We start from the raw sequence: 20,138 nt of genomic DNA, 5'->3' as shown, positions 1-20,138 counted from the left end.
GTACCTGCCATGTGCCAGGCAGCAAGTGCAGGAAATAGACGTGCTCTCTGTTGTGAAGGGCAGACAGGCATAACCCAGTGCAGTAAAGTGCTAAGTGGAGGCAAGCACAGGGGGACCTCTGATTGGGGTGGCATGGTGGGACAATCAGGGAGGACTTTCCTGAGGAGGTGGCTCCTAAGCTGAGACAGGAAGGATAAGGAAGCTGTTCCAGGTGGTGTGGTAAGGGCAGCATATGCCAAGATTCTGAAGGTGTGTGTTTGAAGAGCTGCTGGTTGCTGGCAGCACCATGGCTGGGGCTCAGAGCTGGAAGGGAGGAGATACTGGAGCAGAACTGGCTGGGGGCTGGGGGAGTACAGGGGACAGGTCCTACAGGGCCTTGAAAAGGGGCCTGGATTTTCCCAAAGCAGCACCCACCCCACCCCAGCCTGTCCTCTCCCTGCTTCGGCAAGTGAGGCCCTGAAAGGACAGACCTTCCAATCTCCTCCTTTCTGTGAGCTGTGGGGCTTCCCAGGCAGTTGGGGGCAGATTCCCACCTTCCCTACCCCCCTCAACCCTTCACGCCCTGTAAGTCATCAGGAGAATAGTGAAAGCTGACTCAGGCAGTGGCGGGTGAGCAGGTGGGTGGCAGTGGCTGAGTGAAGAGGAGCTGCAGAGCAGGCCCCCCACCCCCAACCTGCTGAATGAAGGCTTTAGTGTAGTCCCCATAATAACTGGCAGGCCCAACCATCAGGTGCAATATAGAGTAAAATAGGTGTTCAGGCATTGTATTTCTCCAATGACTAAGTAGCTGTTACCTCTTCCTCTCATTAACCCCCTAGCCCCTTTTTCCCAGCCACCTCCCACACTCAGACTTGCTTCCCTTTGGAAAATGGGAAATGATATGTCTATGAAGCAAAGTGTGGCTCTGTGTGTATGTGTATAGCTATATGTGTGTGTGCATGAAAGTATTTCATGTATATGTGAGGAAGTATATAAAAGGAATATAGGGGCCGGGTGCAGTGGCTCACACGTGTAATCCCAGCACTCTGGGAGGCCGAGGCGAGCTGATCACCTGAGGTCAGGAGTTTGAGACCAGCCTGGCCAACATGGTGGAAACTCTGTCTCTACTAAAAATACAAAAATTAACCAGGTGTGATGATGGGCGCCTGTAGTCCCAGCTACTTGGGAGGCTGAGGCAGGAGAATCGCTTGAACCAGGGAGGCAGAGGTTGCAGTGAGATGAGATCATGCCACTGCACCCCAGCCTAGGCAATAGAATACTTCATCTAAAAAAAATAAATAAATAAAATAAAATAAAAGGAATATATATACTTATGTGTGCATGAAAATATTTCTGTTGATGCCATGCATGGGAGCACATGTGCATGAAACATGCATGGTGCTGTGTGTTTAAGTAGGCGTGTCAGGAACATGGAGGCACACATGTGCACAGGTGTGCAGGAGAGTGTGGGTGGTTACGAGTCGAGGGGACATGAGGCACATGTGTGTGTTTGCAGTGAGTGTGCATGTGACTATCACTCCAGCTACTGTGACAGTGATTGTCTTTGCAGGAGAGAAGTTGTTGGGCTGGGATATTCCTATTAACCAAAGCAATAAAACACCCAACTGGTCTGGCTGCCTCCCCTCTTGCTTCTTTGTAATTCATTCTCCACCTAGCAGCCAGTGAGAGCATTTAAAAATGCAAATCAGGGCCAGGCGCGGTGACTCATGCCTGTAATCCCAGCACTTTGGGAGGCCAAGGCGGGCAGATCACCTGAGATCGGGAGTTCGAGACCAGCCTGACCAATATGGAGAAACCCTGTCTCTACTAAAAATACAAAATTAGCCGGGCATGGTGGCACATGCCTGTAATCTCAGCTACTCAGGAGGCTGAGGCAGGAGAATCGCTTGAACCTGGGAAGCGGAGGTTGCGGTGAGTCGAGATCGCACCATTGCACTCCAGCCCAGGCAACAAGAGTGAAACTCTGTCTCAAAAAAAAAAAAAAAAAAATGCAAATCAGATTATGTCACTCTAAGGCTGAAAACACTCCAGTGGCTTCCCATTGCATCTGGAATAAATCAAACTTGTGACAGTGGCCTGCAGGATGTGCCTCCACTTTGAAGCTTTGCTGTCTGTTCTCCTCTCACTCTCTGGGCGGGCACGCCATGCCTCAGCCAGACATCAAGAGCCTTCATACCTGCTGTTTCCTCTCTTGGACTCCTTTGCTGTTGGGTGGTGTCCTGCCCTCAGGTTTCAGCTCAACATGATGGCATCATCAGTGGGGGCATCCCTGACCCCCAGGTTTAAATTGGCACCCCCAGCCAGGCGCGGTGGCTCATGCCTGTAATCCCAGCACTTTGGGACGCCAAGACAGGTGGATCACTTAAGGTCAGGAGTTCGAGAGCAGCCTGGCCAACATGGTGAAATCCTGTCTCTACTAAAAATACAAAAATTATCTGGGCCTGGTGGTGCATGCTTGTAATCCCAGCTACTCGGGAGGATGAGCCAGGAAAAACATTTGAACCCACGAGGTGGAGTTTGCAGTAAGCCAAGATTTCACCACTGCACTCTAGCCTGGGCGACAGAGCAAGACTCAATCTCAAATAATAATAATAATAATAATAATAATAATAATAATAATAATAATAAATAGGCCGGGCGCGGTGGTTCACGCCTTTAATCCCAGTACTTTGGGAGGCCGAGGCAGGCAGATCATGAGGTCAGGAGTTCAAGACCAGCCTGGCCAACATGGTGAAAACCTGCCTCTACTAAAAATACAAAAATTAGCTGGGCATGGTGGTGCGTGACTGTAATCCCAGCTACTAGGGAAGCTGAGGCAGGAGAATTGCTTGAACCGGGACCCGGGACGCGGAGGTTGCAGTGAGCCAAGATCGCGCCACTGCACTCCAGCCTGGGCTACAGAGGGAGACTCTGTCTCAAAAATAAATAAATAAATAAATAAATAAATAAAATAATAAAAGCAAATAAATAAATAAATAAATAGGCCGGGTGCAGTGGCTCACGCCCATAATCTTAGCACTTTGGGAGGCTGAGGTGAGTGGATCACCTAAGGTCAGGAGTTCAAGACCAGCCTGGCCAACATGGTGAAACTCCGTCTCTACTAAAAGTACAAAAATTAGCCGGGCATGGTGGCGGGCACCTGTAATCTCAGCTACTAGGGAGGCTGAGGCAGGAGAATTGCTGGAACCCGGGAGGTGGAGGTTTCAGTGAGCTGAGATTGCACCATTGTACTCCAGCCGGGGCCGACAACAGCGAGACTCAGTCTCAAAAAATAAAAATAAATAAATAAAATAAAATAAATAAAGTGGCACCCCCAATCCATGTCCATCCTATCACTCCGACTTAGTTCCTCCCCAGCACTAGGTCCCTTAGGTCTGAAGCTGGCACTGAGATGGAGTTAGGAGTGCATAGGGCTCAGTGGGGAGTGGCCCCTATGACATGAACAGGGAGGATGCCGGATTGGGTAGGGGAGCAATCAGACCATGGTGCAGATCTGACAAGGTCTCTGCTGGCCCAACAGGAGGAGTCCTGAGTTAAGTAGAAATGGCTGGACTCTGTATAATAGTCTGGCTCAATCAGGGACTGGAACCATCCACTCAAATAAAAAGGGGAGTCACAGACTGAGAGAAAATATTCAAAAGACATATTTGATAAAGGACTGTCATCCGAGATAGACACAGAACTTGGGCCAGATGCAGTAGCTCACACCTGTAATCTCAGCACTTTGGAAGGCTGAGGCGGGAGGATTGCTTGAGCCCAGGAGTTGGAGACCAGCCTGGGTAACAGTGAGACCCTTTGTCTACAAAAAATTTTAAAAATTAGCTGGGTATGGTGGCGCTGGCCTGTAGTACCAGCTACTTGAAAGCTGAGACAGGAGGATCACTTGAGCGGGGGAGGTCGAGGCTGCAGTGAGCCAGGGTTTTACTACTGCACTCGAGCCTGGGTGACAGTGACACCCTGGCTCAAAAAAAAAATAAAATTATATATACACACAATGAACTCTTAAAACTTAACAATAAGAAAACAAACAACCAGATTTAAAAAATGAGCAAAAGACCCAAAGAAGATACCTTACTAAAGGAGATATATAGATAGCAAGTAAGCATATGAAAAGATGTTCAACATCATATATCTTTTTTTTTTTTTTTTTTAGATGGAGTTTTGCTCTCTCACCCAGGTTGGAGTGCAATGGCACGATCTTGGCTCACTGCAACCTCTGCCTCCTGGGTTCAAGCGATTCTCCTGCCTCGGCCTTGTAAGTAGCTGGAATTACAGGCACCCGCCATCATGCCTGGCTAATTTTTTGTAGAGACAGGGTTTTACCATCTTGGCCAGGCTGGTCTTGAACTCCTGACCTCTGGTGATCCGCCCGCCTTGGCCTCCCGAAGTGCTGGGATTACAGGTGTGAGCCACCACACCCAGCAACGTCATATATCTTTAGGGAAGTGCAAATTAAAACAACACTGGGATTCTACCACACATCTGTTAGAATATCCACAATCCAGGACACTGACAGCACCAAATGCTGGTGAAGATGTGGAGCAACAGGAACTCTCACTCATTGCAGTGGGAATGCAAAATGGTACATTTGAAGACAGTGTGGCAATTCCTTTCTCTTTTTTTCTTGAGACAGGGTCTCACTCTGTTGCCCAGGTTGGAGTGCAGTGGCACGATCTCAGCCCACTGCAACCTCCATCTCCTGGGTTCAAGTGATTCTCCTGCCTCAGCCTCCCTAGTAGCTGGGATTACAGGCACGCACCACAGCACCTGGCTAATTTTTGTATTTTTAGTAGAGGTGGGGTTTCACTATATTGGCCAGGCTGGTCTCAAATTCCTGACCTCAAGTGATCCACCCACCTCAGCCTCCCAAAGTGCTGGGATTACAGGTGTGAGCCACCACACCCAGCCTCAAGTTCGGCAATTTCTTTCTTTCTTTTTTTTTTTTTTTTTGAGATGGAGTTTTGCTGTTGTTGCCCAGGCTAGAGTGCAATGGCATGATCTTGGCTCACCGCAACCTCCACCTCCCGGGTTCAAGCAGTTCTCCTGCCTCAGCCTCCCGAGTAGCTGGGATTACAGGCATGCACCACCACCCCGGCTAATTTTGTATTTTTAGCTGAGACAGGGTTTCTCCATGTTGGTTAGGCTGGTCTTGAACTCCCAACCTCAGGTGATCCACCCGCCTTGGCCTCCCAAAGTGCTGGGATTACAGGTGTGAACCATTGCGCCCGGCTAGGTTCAGCAATTTCTTACAAAACTAAACATACTTTTACTATATGATCTGGCAATCATGCTCCTTGGTAGTTACTCAAATAAACTTAAGTTCACACAAAAACCAGCACACGAATGCTTATAGCAGCTTTATTAATAATTGACAAAACTTGGATGCAACCAAGATATCCTTCAGTAGGTGAATGAGTGAATGAACTGTGGGACATCCAGACAATAGGATATTATTTGGGGCCAAAAAGAATTTCACTACCAAGTTATGAAAAAACATGGAGAAATCTTAAAAGCATATTGCTAGTCTGGGCATGATGTCTCACACCTGTAATTCCAGCACTTTGGGAGGCCAAGGCAGGAGGATTGCTAGAGCCCAGGAATTCTAGGCTGTATATGATTGTGCCACTGTACTTCACCCTGGGTGACAGAGAAGAAAGAAAGAGAAAGAAAAGAAAGAGAGAGAGAAAGAGAAAAAGAAAGAGAAAGAAAAGAAAAGAAAGAGAGAGAGAGGAAGGAAGGGAGAGAGAGAAAGGAGGGATGGAGGGAGGGAAGGAAAGAATGGAGAGAGAAAGAGAGGAGGAGAGGAAGAGAGAGAAAGAGAGAGAAAGGAGAAGAGGAAGAGAGTGAGAAAGAAAGAAAAAAGAGAAAGAAAGAGAGAAAGAAAGAAGCATATTATTAAGTGAAAGAGGCCAATCTCTTTTTTGAGATGGAGTGTAGCTCTGTTGCCCAGGCTGGAGTGCAGTGGCATGATCTCGGCTCACTGCAACCTCCACCTCCCAGGTTCAAGCGATTCTCCTGCCTCAGCCTCCCTAGTAGCTGGGATTACAAGCGCCCGCCACCACGCCCGGCTAATTTTTGTGTTTTTAGTAGAGACAGGGTTTCACAGTGTTGGCCAGGCTGGTCTCGAACTCCTGACCTTGTGATCTGCCCGCCTCGGCCTCCCAAAGTGCTGGGATTACAAGCATGAGCCACCGAGCCTGGCCAGGCCAAAGAAGCCAATCTTAAAAGGCTACCTACTGAATGATTCCAACTATATGACATTCTGGAAAAGGCAAAACTATGGAGACAGCAAAAAGATCAGTTAGAGCAATGAAACTATTCTGTAGGATACTATGATGATGGATACAAGCCATTGTACATTTGTCCAAACACATACAATGTACTACACCAAGAGTGAACCCCAATGTAAACTATGGACCTCACTGATGATGATGCATCCGTGTAGGTTCACAAATCATAACAAATGCACCCCTCTGGTCAGGGATGTTGATAATGGCATGGTGGAGGCGATGCACGTGTGGGGACAGGGGGTATATAGGAAATCCATGTACTTTCTTCTTAATTTTGCCAGATTGCTCTAAAAGATGAAGTCCATTAAAAAAAAAAAAAAAAGAGGCTGGGCTGGGCACAGTGGCTCACGCCTGTAATCCCAATACTTTGGGAGGCCAAGGCGGGCAGATCACCTGAGGTCGGGAGTTCAAGACTCACCTGACCAACACGGAGAAACCCCATCTGTACTAAAAATACAAAATTAGCTGGGCATGGTGGTGCGTGCCTGTAATCCCAGCTACTCGGGAGGCTGAGGCAGGAGAATCGCTTAAATCCAGGAGGCGGAGGTTGTGGTGAGCCAAGATCATGCTGTTCCACTGCAGTCTGGGCAACAAGAGTGAAACTCCGTCTCAAAAAAAAAAAAAAAAAAAAAAAAAAAAGAGGTCAGGCACAGTGGCTCATGCCTGTAATCCCAGCACTTTGGGAGGCCGAAATGGGTGGATCGCTTGAAGCCAGGAGTTTGACGCTAGCCTGAGCAACATGGCAAAGCCCCGCCTCTACAAGAAATACAAACATTAGCCGGGCATGGTGCTGTATGCCTATAGTCCCAGCTACCTGGGAGGCTGAGGTGGGAGGATGGCTTGAGCCCAGGAGGCAGAGGTTGCAGTGAGCAGAGATTGTGTCACTGCATTCCAGCCTGGGTGACAGAGAGAGACCCTGTCTCAAAAATAAAATAAATTCAATTAAAAAATAAAAGAAAGGCCGGGCGCGGTGGCTCACACCTGTAATCCCAGCACTTTGGGAGGCAGAGGCGGGCGGATCACGAGGTCAGGAGATCAAGACCATCCTGGCTAACACAGTGAAACCCCGTCTCTACTAAAAATACAAAAAAATTAGCTGGGCATGGTGGCGGGCGCCTGTAGTCCCAGCTACTCGGGAGGCTGAGGCAGGAGAATGGCCTGAATCCGGGAGGCGGAGCTTGCAGTGAGCCGAGATTGTGCCACTGCACTCCAGCCTGGGCGACAGAGAGAGACTCCGTCTCAAAAAAAAAATAAATAAATAAAATAAAAGAAATAAAAGAAAAGAAAAGAAGAGAAGGGAAGAGAAAAGAAAAAAGAAAAGAAAAGCTTATATTCCTTCAGGACTCCCTTTCCTTCTCTCCTCACGGACATTCTTCTGCTGCCCAGGTGTTGTGACTTCCCCTCAGGGGAATGTGTTTGCTAGGTCTGCCTGTCCTTTTCTCCTCTGGATTGGCTGAATCCTATGTTAACAATTTTCCAGTTTAGGGGCTGGCCTGGCTGGAAGCTCCTGGATCTCTGTGGCTCCTCTGCCCTCCCTGCAGCTCTCTACCCTACCTTCCTGTGGCCCACTGTCCTTCTGGAAAGAATTTCATAAACAAATGACAGCCACTGTAAGCCCTGTCCTGGTATAAATATGTACCCTGACACCCAACTGGGGAGATGGAAATTCAAGATTGGTGAGAGAAGAAGAAAATCCTGAGTAACTCATTAGCACCACCTCCAACCAAGCTTAATCTTGCCTCCTTTGGTGTCAGACAGCGGCAAGACGAAAAACATCTTCCCTCCTCGCCCTCCAGGGATGAAGCTGTCACACAGAACAGACTTGAGGGGGGCCCACCAACTGTGCGCCCCACTTCCATTTCCCAGGTCTTGATTAAGACTTTTAAAGGCAGTTAGCTCTGAAAAGATTAGGGCATCTCCACCCCCATGAATAGTACAAAATGAAATCAATATTAAGCCACAAAATAAGTGTGAGGAAGCCCTTCAACATTTTGAATTTTCCCATGATGACAGCTTTGAAGTTGTTTATTTTTTGAAATATCAAATATGAAATTCTTGGTTTTCTTTTTTTGAGATGGAGTCTTGCTCTGTTGCCCAGGCTGGAGTGCAGTGGCGCGATCTCGGCTCATAGCAAGCTCTGCCTCCCGGGTTCACACCATTCTCCTGCCTCAGTCTCCTGAGTAGCTGGGACTACAGGCGCCCGCCACCACGCCCGGCTAATTTTTGTATTTTTTTTTTTAGAGACGGGGTTTCACCGTGTTAGCCAGGATGGTCTCGATCTCCTGACCTCGTGATCCGCCCGCCTCGGCCTCCCAAAGTGCTGCGATTACAGGCGTGAGCCACCGCACCCGACCTCAATATGAAATTGTTTTTTTTTTTTTTTTTTTGAGGCGGAGTCTGGCTCTGTCGCCCAGGCTGGAGTGCAGTGGCGAGATCTCAGCTCACTGCAAGCTCCGCCTCCCGGGTTCACTCCATTCTCCTGCCTCAGCCTCCCGAGTAGCTGGGACTACAGGCGCCCGCCACTACGCCCGGCTAATTTTTTGTATTTTTAGTAGAGACGGGGTTTCACTATGTTAGCCAGGATGATCTCCATCTCCTGACCTTGTGATCTGCCCACCTCGGCCTCCCAAAGTGCTGGGATTACAGGCGTGAGCCACCGTACCCAGCCAATATGAAATTCTTAAATGATTTTCTCCTTCGCTGGCTTCCTTCCTGTGGGTTTTGTTTGCATGTTGCTCTTATCTGTGATCAGCCCTCACCCCCAGCTGGCCTTCCTGCCTCCACCAGGCCTGCCCTGGTGCTGGACGTGAGGAGGGTGGTTCTAGGGCTGAGCTTGAGGACCCCAGGGGGTCCTTTCATGGAAACTGGCCTGGCGTGCAGAGGGGAGGGTCGCAGAGTCAAGTCCCCTCTCACCAAGGTTAGTGGGCTTGCTGAATAGTCCAGGGTATACCAGCTTAGGGCTGATCAGGGCTGAGCTGAGCAGGGAGGGCAGAGTCCTGGGTGGCTATCAAACTTGAATCAAATCAACAGACAGCTACTGCGGTCCATGTTGTAGGCAAAAAACAAGTTGGCTTGGACGGGAAGGCCAGTACTGGGGTCTTATTATCTGGTGGCCTTGGGCTCTTCTGACCTGTGGGTGGCTCAGATGGTGGAACAGAATGGTCAAGAACCCACTTGGATGCTGCCCATCAGCTCAGGTACATTACTGTCTATAAGGACAGGAGGATCACCCGCATTACAAATAGGCAAACTGAAGCCAGGGCCCATGCCCAGTGATGGAAGAGCTGGATCTGTCTGTCTGGCTCGGTCTGGAGATTTTGCTCACAGTAAGCCTCCAGGGTCCAGAGCCTGGGGCTCCTCACTCATGAGTTTTATCATTGTCTGGCACCTTCTGTTGCTGGAGGGAGAGGTGAGAGGCCTACAGGCATTTTTGTCCTGTCTGCATATTTGGTCCACTATGTGTTGGGCGTTCGCAAATCTGTTACCTCATCCAGGCTGCATCCCTGCAAAGTGGGGAGTGTGGGCCCCATTTTACAGATGAACTCAGCAAAGGAGAGGGACTTGCCCAAGGTGGGGCATATGGTGGGGACTTCTGGCCCCCTGGAAGGGAATCTCCACGGATGCAGAGTCTGTCTGGCTCCCAGCTATAACCCCAGGCCACAGCCCCCAGCACAGCCATCAGTGCATTGTCAGCAAGCAATACATATCTGGTGAATGAGTAAGTCAGTGAATAGTGAATGATTGCTTGATTCCGTTTGGCCCCAAATCTTTGCCCTTTCCTGGTTTTCACCTAGTCTGGGGAGCTGCAGCTGAAAGCAGAATCCCTGGGCCTTCCTGGTGGAAAAGTCTCCCTGGGCTGTGCTGGTGAGAGCCCCTGGGTGAGAGGCCTTAGCAGTGCCAAGGCCTCCCAGCTTCTGCCTGCTCAGGGAACCCCTGCCCTCACCCCTGCCTGCCGCAGCCATCCCTAGTGGCCACATATAGTCCCAGAAGATGCAGGGAGGGTTTCGCTGCAGAATAAACATATAGGCTGTACATCCAGTGATTCAGAAGATCCTACTGTGCTGGCCTCCCTCTTCCCCAAACCATGCTGTTGCCATAGCAACAGTTGCCAAACTAGAGCTTGCTGAGGGCATCCCAATTAACCCCTTCCTGGTGCACAGGGCCCTCAGTACACCTGTCCACATGGCCTGGATGCCCACAGCACTGATGCCCAGGCTGAGAGACAATGGCACAGGGGCAACTTGTGCCAGACAGAGGCAGGGTGGTATTGTGGGCAGAAATGCAGGCTTTGGCGGTCAAAGGGCCTGAGTTGAATCTCTGCATCAGCTATGCGAACTTGGATACTCCAAGAAAACTTTCAAGCCTCAGTTGCAATATGGACCTAATACTGTGTCCACTCACAGAGCTGTTCTAACAGTAGGCTGGATAAAGAATGCATCATAATGTCCAGTGGAATACGTGGCATGCGGTTAATGCTCGTGACTTTGGGCTGGGTTCATGCTCTCTGCATAGGAGGAGCTGGCCAGCATGCTGTGTGTACATATCCAGTCCACTTCTGTTATGCGGGGCCCCAGGGCATGTTAGGGGTGGGCACATAGTTACAGGCATACAGAACAGGGATTCATCTGGGAAAAAGGAAGCCGGTAGCCTCTCAAGCTGTACCAGGCCTGGAGATTGCCCTGGGAGAGCTCTCTCAAACAGCCCATTCATTCCACCTTGAACTCAACCCTCTCAAGGCCCCACTGGGCTCTGGGACTCCCAGAGTGAGAGGTTTGACTAGAAACCAAGAGGGGTAGGAGGAAGCTGATGGAGGAGGGGGTGGGTCTGTGGGTCTCTGGTGTGCAGAGGGGAGGGCTGCAGAGTCAAGTCCCCTCTCCAAAACGTTAGTGGGCTTGCTTAATAGTCCAGGGCATACCAGCTTAGGGCTGATCAGGGCTGAGTTAAGCAGGGAGGGCAGAGTCCTGGGTGGATGTCAAACTTGGACTTCCTCACACTTATTTTGTGGCTTACGAATACGTCTGAGGGGGTGCGGGTGGGGAGGACAGAAAATGAGGCTGTGCTGGAAGCTCTGGACTCACCTGGTGGCCTGTGGCCATGGCCCCCACCCCACCCCCGCCCCCTGTTAACACCAGTTGAGCAAAGGGACCCTGGGGAAAGCGACAGCAGAGAGTAGACCAGAAAAGGCAGTATTAGTGGCCACTGTTGATTGAGAGTCAGCCAGGGGCCAGAGCGATAACGCAAATAAGGCCACATTCCCTCCACCCACTGCTTAAAGCACTCTGATGGCTTCTCCCTGAGGGACCCAAACCCTCAGCTGTGGCTTACAGAGCCTCTGTCCTGGCCCCAGCCCACCTCTCTGCTCACTTTGCACTTCTCTGTTCCAAGCTGCTCTGCTCCCAGTCACTCAGACTGCTTTGTTTGTGTTGTTGTTTTTCAAATGAATTGCTTCTTTCAGCCTCAGCCTTCTGCACAGTCAAGGCAGGTGCCTCTACCTGAAATGCTCACGTACTCTTTCCCCAGTTCATTTACTGCATCTCATCAGTTACAAGATGTGCCATAGAAAAAAACCCTAACTTTTTATTTGAAATAAGTTCAGACTGAATAAAAGTTGCAAAAAATAGTACAAATAATCTTCATATTCTGTTTTACTCTGATTCCCCAAATGTTAGCTTTCTACCGTGTTTGCATTTGTACTGGTGTGATGAACACTAGAGCTATCTCTGTGCATCTCCTTCCCAACTCCCTCTTCAGTGACTTCATGGCGCCAGCTTTAAATTGGCCACAGAGAGTATTTACACCACAGAAATTGGTATCAGGGCTTTTTTGCCCTGAGAGAGTTGGTTGTTAAACATTTTCAGCATACCACCATTTTATCAATCTCTCTCTTTTATCTTTTTAAAACCTTTTTAAAATCAAATTCCCTCTGTCTCTTTTTTTTTTTTTTTTTTGAGACGGAGTCTTGCTCTGTCGCCAGGCTGGAGTGCGGTGGCGTGATCTCGGCTCACTGCAACCTCCATCTCCCAGGTTCAAGCGATTCTCCTGCCTCAGCCTCCCGAGTAGCTGGGACTACAGGCATGTACCACCACACCCAGCTAATTTTTTTTTTTTTTGTATTTTTAGTAGAGAGGGGGTTTCACCATGTTGGCCAGAATGGTCTCGATTTCTTGACCTCTTGATCCGCCTGCCTCGGCTTCCCAAAGTGCTGGGATTACAGGTGTGAGCCACCGCACCCAGCTCAAATTCCCTCTTTATATGTACAGTGTGTGTGTGTGTTCACTCATTCTTTTTATTTTTTTGTCTGAGGTGGAGTCTCGCTCTGTCTCCCAGGTTGGAGTGCAGTGGTGTGATCTCAGCTCACTGCAACATCCACCTACCAGGTTCAAGTGATTCTCCTGCCTCAGCCTCCCCAGTAGCTGGGACTATAGGCGCACATCACCACGCCTGGCTAATTTTTGTATTTTTAGTAGAGACGAGGTTTCACCATGTTGACCAGGCTGGTCTCGAACTCCTGACCTCAGGTGATCTGCCCACCTCAGCCTCCCAAAGTTCTGGGATTACAGGAGTGAGCCACCTCACCTGGCCTCTTTTTCTTTCCTTTTTTTTTTTTTTTCTGAACTGCTTGAGAGTAGGTGACAGATAAGTGTACCTTTATCCCTAAATACTTTGATACATTCTTCTTCAAAACAAGGACATTCTTTTATATAATAACCACAGTACATTTATTGAAATCAGAAAATTAGCATGGCTACATACAGTTCTATTGTCTGATGTACAGACCTTATTCAACCATCTCCAACCATCCTGCTAATATCCTTTACAGCAAAAGAAGAAAAATATTGGGCACAGTGGAAAACACCTGTAATCTCAGCACTTTGGGAGGCTGAGGCGGAAGGATTGTTCGAGCCTAGGAGTTCAAGACCAGCCTGGACAATATAGTGAGACCCTATCTCTACACACACACACACACACACACACACACACAAGCCAAGTGTGGTGGTGCACACCTGTAGTTCCAGCTTCTTGGGAGGCTGAGGTGGGAGGATCACTTGAACCCAGGAGGTTGAGGCTTCCGTAAGCCTGAATTTCCCACCTCAGGCTTCTAAGTAGCTGGGACTACAGGTGTGCACCATCAGGCCCAGCTAATTTTTGTATTTTTTTGTAGAGACAGGGTTTTGCCCTGTTATTCAGGATGGTCTCAAACTCCTGGGCTTAAGCGATCTGCCCGCCTCAGCCTCCTGAAGTGCTGGGATTACAGGCACACATTGCTACACCTGCCTATTTAATTTTATTTTTTATTTATATATTTTTTAGAGATAAGGTCTCACTATGTTGCCCAGGCTAGAGTGCAGTGGCTATTCACAGGTGTGATCATAGTGCACTACAGCCTCGAACTCCTGACCTCAGCAATCTTTCTGTCTCAGCCTCCTGAATAGCTGGGACTACAGGCACGCACCCCTGTACCTGGCTTTATTATTTTATTTTATTTTATTTTAGCACCTTCTCACTTTCTGGCACAAGATGTTCCAGGATCACTTGTATTTTCCCTGAGCCAACCTCAGGGAATTAGCTATTCTCCAAAGTCCCCTAGTTCCTTTTAGTGGAGAATGGCATTTGGAAACCAAGATTTGGGAGCTAGGGTGCTCCCTGCTCCTGGGGAAGATGCACCCTTTACATTTCTGACCACAGGATGCATTTTAGAGATGATGTCTTACAATCCCCCAGCTTGGCATTTGCCTCTTCTCCTTCTGGCCACCCCAAAAACTGAGCCCAGTAGTGACTGCTCAGCCAGGACCCCTTCCCCACACTTCTCCCCAGGCCGGTCCACATAACCCCTTTGTCCTACCTCTTCTTTCCACTGAGTCAGAGCCCAGGAGCCTACCAACCACAAACTCAGGAATTTTATACCCAGCAAAGCTTGCTGCAGGGCAAGGTAGATTTCTCTTGGATTCTACCCTATTCTGATCTCTGCCACTACACATCCTTCTTTGTTTTAAATTAGGTGGGAGAGAGAAAACTCCTCTGGGGCTGCAGAAGGTCAAAAGAGCTCTTTCAGTAAGCACAAAATAACATTTCTAAGGTTAATTGGCTGAATTTTTGTCTCAGTGTTATCTAAAATAATAGTGTGGATGATCAATAGAGTCTTAGATTCGATGAAATAGATTGCACCCAGTTATCCTTCAAAACTGAGCTCACACCACTACTCCTGAGTACTTTTCCTCTGTGTCCCTCAACACAATCAGTAACATGGATTTGGGGGTCACTGTTGGTCCATATCTCTCTGAGTGCCTTGCAAGTGGACTCACCTCTGTGTCTATCATGTTATCATATCTGTATCCTCAATGTGAGGTGCAGTTAGGCACTCAATAAGGATTTGTGGAATAAATGGCTGGATTAATTTAATCTTCTCAACAAGCCTGCAAGCACAGATGACGTTTTCTACTTTACGGGTGGAGAAACTGAGGCTCCTAGAGCCAAAGTTTGTTCAATATTACTTCGCCAGTAAATGGTAGACTCCAGATGCAAACCCAGGTGTGTCAGATTCCTATGTCTGTACAAAGTGTGTCAGTGGAGGAAATGATTTTCGTGAAGAATTGAATTCTTATTCCCATGATGAGGTTGGTCCCCAGAGTGTATAAATTCCTAGAAATTGGGGCAGCACAAATAAGGCTGGGCGCGTTGGCTCATGCCTGTAATCCCAGCACTTTGGGAGGCTGAGGCAGGTAGATCACTTGAGGTCAGGAGTTTGAGACCAGCCTGACCAACACGGTGAAACCCCGTCTCTACTAAATACAAAAAATTAGGCGGGCGTGGTGGCACATACCTGTAATCCCAGCTACTCAGGAGGCTGAGGCAGGAGAATCGCTTGAACCCGGGAGGCGGAGGTTGCAATGAGCTGAGATCACGTCATTGCACACCAGCCTGGGCAACAAGAGCAAAACTCCTTCTTAAAAAAAAAAAAAAGATGCAAGAAAGGACACAGAAGAGAGGGGCTGGTGCTGCAAAACCAGTTTCCACAGGTGGCCACAGTCACTCAGCTCATACTGCCACTAGGTTGGCCTGGGTTGCCCTGCCCCTCTATGGGAGGGCCAGGCAGAGGCATGGGTAAAGGGCAAGCAACCTGGCTGGGCCTGCCTGACCCCAGGCATGGGCCTTGGCCCCTTGTGCTGCCCGACTAGCCCTGGCCTGTGAAGGGAACTTCCACACAGACAGGCACTTTTGGAAATAATTTGAGAGGCATTAAGAAGATCATCTCGATTTCTTGATTATATGCTAAATAAGGGGTGAATAATTCATGAGTGGGGATTTCCTGGGACTAAGGGTCCCTCCCCTGTTTAGACCATATAGGGTAACTTCCTGACCTGACGCTGCCATGGCATTTGTAAACTGTTACGGGGCTGGTGGAAGTGTCTTTTAGCATACTAATACATTATAATTAGTGTATAATGAGCAGTGAGGATGGCCAGAGGTCACTTTGGTCACCATCTTGGTTTTGGTGAGTTTTAGCCAGCTTCTTTGCCACATCGTGTTTTATCAGGAGGGTCTTTGTGAACTGTTTCTTGTTCTGACCTCCTGTCTCATCCTGTCACTAAGAATGCCTAACCTGGGCCTGACGTGGTGGCTCATGCCTGTAATCCCAGCACTTTGGGAGGCTGAGGCATTGGATCACCTGAGGTCAGCTTGACCAACGTGGTTAAACCCCTCCTCTACTAAATACAAAAAATTAGCCAGGTGTGGTGGCACATGCCTGTAATCCCAGCTACTTGGGAGGCCAAGGCAGGAGAATCGCTTGAACCTGGGACGCGGAGGTTGCAGTGAGCCAAGATTGCACCATTGCACTCCAGTCTGGGTGACAAGAGTGAAACGCCATCTCAGAAAAGGAAGACCATCTCCTCTTCTAAGCAGATTTCTGTCCTAGAAATACCACAAATTATAATAACCACTCAACACTTATATACACTGACTAGGTGCCAAGTACTCACTTAATCTTCACGACAGCCCTGTGAGGTTGGGGTTATTTCCCTATTTTACAGATGAGGGTGCTGAGACACAAAGAGCAACTTGCCCAAGGTCATGATCTGGAATGTGAACTTCTTTGTTGTTTTGTTTTGTTTTGTTTTGTTTGAGACAGGGTCTTGCTTTTATTCCCAGGTTGGTGTACAGTGGTGCAATCATGGCTCACTGCAGCCTCGACCTCCTGGGCTCAGGTGATCCTCCCACCTCAGCCTCCTGAGTGTCTGGAACCACAGGCTCGAAGCAAGACTGCCAGCTAATTTTTTTTTTTGTTTTATTTTGTTTTGTTTTGTTTTGAGATGGAGTCTCGCTCTGTCGCCCAGGCTAGAGTGCAGTGGCGTGATCTCGGCTCACTCCAAGCTCCGCCTCGTGGGTTCACGCCATTCTTCTGCCTCAGCCTCCTGAGTAGCTGGGACTACAGGCGCCGCCACCACACCTGGCTAATTTTTTGTATTTTTAGTAGAGATGGGGTTTCACCGTGTTAGCCAGGATGGTCTCGATCTCCTGACCTCGTGATCCGCCCACCTAAGCCTCCCAAAGTGCTGGGATTACAGGCATGAGCCACCACACCCGGTTTTTTTTTTTTTTTTTTTTTTTTTTTTAGAGACAGAGTCTTGCTCTGTTGCCCAGGCTGGTTTCAAACTCCTGGCCTCAAGCAATTCTCCTGCCTCGGCCTCCCAAAGTGCTGGGACTCCAGGCGTGAGCCACCGTGCCCAGGCAAGGAATCTGATCTTGAACCAAGATCGTGCCATTGTACTCCAGCCTGGACGACAGAGCAAGACTCTGTCTCAATAAATAAATAAATAAATAAATAAATAAAGACGGGATGGCTTTAGGCCAGGCATGTTGGCTCATGCCTGTAATCCCAGCAAATTTGGGAGGCAGAGGCGGGAGGATCACTTGAGGCCAGGAGTTTGAGACCACCCTGGGCAACATAGGGAGAGCTCGTCTCTACAAAAAAATAGATAAAACAAAACAAAACAAAACAAAAAACTAGCTGTGGCAGCATGTGCCCCTAGTCCCAGCTACTCAGGAGGCTGAGGAAGGAGGATTGTTTAAGCCTGGGAGGTCGAGGCTACAGTGAACCATGATTGTGCCATTGTACTCCAGCCTGAGCAACAGAGTGAGACCTCGTTTCAAAAAAAAAAAAAAACAAAACAAAAAACAAAAAACAGATGGCTTCAGAGGAAGCTGATCATTACCAGACACTGAATCTGCCGACACGTTGACTGTGGACTTCCCAGAACCATGAGAAATCTATTTCTGTTGTTTATAAGCCAGCCATTTTATAAAATACCATTTTATGGTATTTTATTATAGCAGCCCAAATGAACTAAGACCGGGCATCATTATCACCTGGCCATCTATCTCTTATTGGGGTGGAGACACCAGTAGCACTGTCCAGTGCTACTCAGTGGAGAGTGACAGTTTGCTTTCCTTCCATGTGTCCTGTCTACACATCCACAGGAGGTGTGGCTGCTAGAGGGGTGAGGGTGAGCTGAGGGGCTGAGGCTGGCTCCTAGCAGGAAAGGGCTGACCTGCTTGTTGAGTCGGAGCCTCTGACATCAGAGCCCTGCCTCCCTCCCACCTCCACCCACACAACTTACACAAGCTCCTCTCCCCGGGCCACCCCAGACCTAAGCTCAGCGTGATGACGACGCAGTCACGGGTTTGCCTCTGAAATTCCCCTCCAGGAGAGCAGTGGCGGGCCTGTGCACGGCCTACCCCTTACATGGCTGCTGATGGAGGAAGCTGATGAGGGTGGGGAGGGGACGGGCAGTGAAGGACGGGGGAGGTTATAGGAGAAAGAAAGAGGAAGAGGAGGAGGAGGCATGGGCTGGTGGAGATAGGGTAGGGTGGTTGAACTGGATACACTGTCTGGATACACTGTCCAGATTTGGGCTCAGCCTTCAGGCAGGACTGGGGTGTTGGCACTGGCTAAGGGAGATTAGAACTCAGGCTTCCAGCCATGTCTGATCCAAAAGGACACCCCACTCCAGGTTCCCTCCTCTCCAAACATCACTCTAGGATCCAGGCTCCTTGTGACACTCCTATCTGGGGTCAGGGACCTCTTCCAGGAATTTATAAGAGTTGGGGCCCCCATCCTAGGAAAATCTTCCTCCACACAATCTTGAGCTACTACTACCCAGGCCATCTGTGGACCCTCCTAGAATTCTCATTAGGAACCTCAAAGCAAAGGGGGAAACAGCATTTCCCCAAGAGTTGGCAAGGATGCTTGCAAAAATAGACTCCCAGGCCTGACCTCAGCTATACTGAGGCAGACCCTGGAGGAGTGGTCTGGGGCCTACTTTTTTTTTTCTTTTCTTTTTTTTTTGAGATGGAGTCTTGCTCTGTTGCCCGGGCTGGAGTGCAGTGTCACGATCTCGGCTCACTGCAACCTCTGCCTCCCGGGTTCAAGCGATTTTCCTGCTTCAGCCTCCTGAGTAGCTGGGACTACCGGTGCACGCCACCACGCTCGGCTAAGTTTTGTATTTTTAGTAGAAATGGAGTTTTACATTGTTGGTCAAGCTGGTCTCAAACTCCTGACCTCAAGTGATCCGCCTGCCTCGGCCTCCCAAAGTGCTGGGATTACAGGCATGAGCCACTGTGCCCAGCCTGGGACCTACATTTTAAACAGGACACCAGATAAGTCTGGGAAGCTGGCTGAGGGTAGTTGTAGAGAGGGTTAGAGGAGAGGGTATTGGATAAAAAGGTAGATTCCTGGCTCCGTCTTCAGAGATTTGGATTTGGAATGGTAGGCTGGGTTCAGGAATCTGCATTTTAATCAAACAGCCCAGTGATTTTGATGCTGAGAGACCTTGAAGGAGGCCTGGAAGAGCTAAGAGCCAGCCCTAAGTGATCAGACTAGGTGGGGGCACAGGAAGGCCTGCGATAGATTCATGTGGTTTTCCAGAAAACTGCTCTAGCAACAGATTTGCCAGGCCAGGAAACTGGCTCTCCCCAGGGCTCCCAGTGAAAGGCTGTAAGGTGGGCTGGCCCAGGAGATCTTCTCCTTTCCAGTTAGGCAGCAGGGTGTGAGTCCCAATTTTGTATTCACCACCTGTGAGGCCTTGGCCAAGTCTCCTGGGGCCTCAGTTTCTCTGCCAGTGAAATGAGAGGCCTTTCCAACTCCAACAGTCTGTGACCATGTCATGATGGCCCTGGCCACGTTTCAGGGCAGCGTGCAATCCTCATCCAGCCAGCCCTCCCGACTGGCACCCTGCCCCTCCCTGGGAGAGGGCCTGGGGCCAAGAGGCTATCAGCTCAAGTCCTTCTCCACACTAGCTTTCCTTGAGGTGTGCAGCTGGAAGGGCCGCTCTCTCATCTGGAGTTGTCCCCATCCCCTGGGGCACCACGAGTGTTTGGCCTGAGTGGTTGCTGGTGTGTGTGGGAGGTGGGAGGGGCAGGGCTGGGCTGGAGACTGGAGATCAGGTGGGAATGTCAGGCCCCTGAGGCTGACACCAGCACGGCCCTATCCTCCTGCCTTCTCTGGGGGAAGCATTTCCAGGCCTGAGTGGATGTATCTAGGGTCCTGCCTGGGTGTAGTACACAGAAGGGCAGTGCCTTGGGCCTCTCCACCAAGGCTCTGGAGAGAAGATTCCTGGGAATGCGGTAACCGTGCAGGTGGCTTCCCCAGCCTACCGCTTGCTCTCTGGGCAGATCATGTACCTTTCAGCCACTGTGTGCTCCTGCACACTCCTCCCTTCTCTGCTTGCTTCTCTCCCCACCCCACTCCCTCCCTCTCCAGCTTTCTGATTTGGAAGGACGGCTGTGGGCAGCTGGCTACAACAACCCTTGCTCCCCCAGCCCATATATCCAGATTCCAAAATCCTTAGG

General features: G+C 49.4%; 10 annotated features.

Annotated features, from left to right (window-relative positions):
- Window positions 307–446: an enhancer, noted in NCBI's record as "active region_8785". NCBI's record gives its function as "activates an Ori minimal core promoter by ATAC-STARR-seq in GM12878 lymphoblastoid cells {active_cell/tissue: GM12878}" and the evidence as "EXISTENCE:reporter gene assay evidence [ECO:0000049][PMID:35858748]".
- Window positions 487–536: an enhancer, noted in NCBI's record as "active region_8784". NCBI's record gives its function as "activates an Ori minimal core promoter by ATAC-STARR-seq in GM12878 lymphoblastoid cells {active_cell/tissue: GM12878}" and the evidence as "EXISTENCE:reporter gene assay evidence [ECO:0000049][PMID:35858748]".
- Window positions 487–997: a biological region, named in NCBI's record as "H3K27ac-H3K4me1 hESC enhancer GRCh37_chr14:77461395-77461903".
- Window positions 489–997: an enhancer, noted in NCBI's record as "H3K27ac-H3K4me1 hESC enhancer chr14:77461395-77461903 (GRCh37/hg19 assembly coordinates)". NCBI's record gives its function as "activates a minimal SCP1, AML or CMV promoter by ChIP-STARR-seq in primed H9 embryonic stem cells {active_cell/tissue: H9 hESC(primed)}" and the evidence as "EXISTENCE:reporter gene assay evidence [ECO:0000049][PMID:30033119]".
- Window positions 1,715–2,215: an enhancer, noted in NCBI's record as "H3K4me1 hESC enhancer chr14:77460177-77460677 (GRCh37/hg19 assembly coordinates)". NCBI's record gives its function as "activates a minimal SCP1, AML or CMV promoter by ChIP-STARR-seq in primed H9 embryonic stem cells {active_cell/tissue: H9 hESC(primed)}" and the evidence as "EXISTENCE:reporter gene assay evidence [ECO:0000049][PMID:30033119]".
- Window positions 2,216–2,716: an enhancer, noted in NCBI's record as "H3K4me1 hESC enhancer chr14:77459676-77460176 (GRCh37/hg19 assembly coordinates)". NCBI's record gives its function as "activates a minimal SCP1, AML or CMV promoter by ChIP-STARR-seq in primed H9 embryonic stem cells {active_cell/tissue: H9 hESC(primed)}" and the evidence as "EXISTENCE:reporter gene assay evidence [ECO:0000049][PMID:30033119]".
- Window positions 14,904–15,403: an enhancer, noted in NCBI's record as "H3K4me1 hESC enhancer chr14:77446989-77447488 (GRCh37/hg19 assembly coordinates)". NCBI's record gives its function as "activates a minimal SCP1, AML or CMV promoter by ChIP-STARR-seq in primed H9 embryonic stem cells {active_cell/tissue: H9 hESC(primed)}" and the evidence as "EXISTENCE:reporter gene assay evidence [ECO:0000049][PMID:30033119]".
- Window positions 17,496–17,997: an enhancer, noted in NCBI's record as "H3K4me1 hESC enhancer chr14:77444395-77444896 (GRCh37/hg19 assembly coordinates)". NCBI's record gives its function as "activates a minimal SCP1, AML or CMV promoter by ChIP-STARR-seq in naive H9 embryonic stem cells {active_cell/tissue: H9 hESC(naive)}" and the evidence as "EXISTENCE:reporter gene assay evidence [ECO:0000049][PMID:30033119]".
- Window positions 17,496–18,074: a biological region, named in NCBI's record as "H3K4me1 hESC enhancer GRCh37_chr14:77444395-77444896".
- Window positions 17,945–18,074: an enhancer, noted in NCBI's record as "active region_8783". NCBI's record gives its function as "activates an Ori minimal core promoter by ATAC-STARR-seq in GM12878 lymphoblastoid cells {active_cell/tissue: GM12878}" and the evidence as "EXISTENCE:reporter gene assay evidence [ECO:0000049][PMID:35858748]".

Source organism: Homo sapiens, chromosome 14 (assembly GCF_000001405.40).
Source record: "Homo sapiens chromosome 14, GRCh38.p14 Primary Assembly".
Classification (NCBI taxonomy): domain Eukaryota; kingdom Metazoa; phylum Chordata; class Mammalia; order Primates; family Hominidae; genus Homo; species Homo sapiens.
The sequence above is the reverse complement of the archived record's forward strand: the minus strand, read 5'-3'. Positions and strand labels throughout refer to the sequence as shown.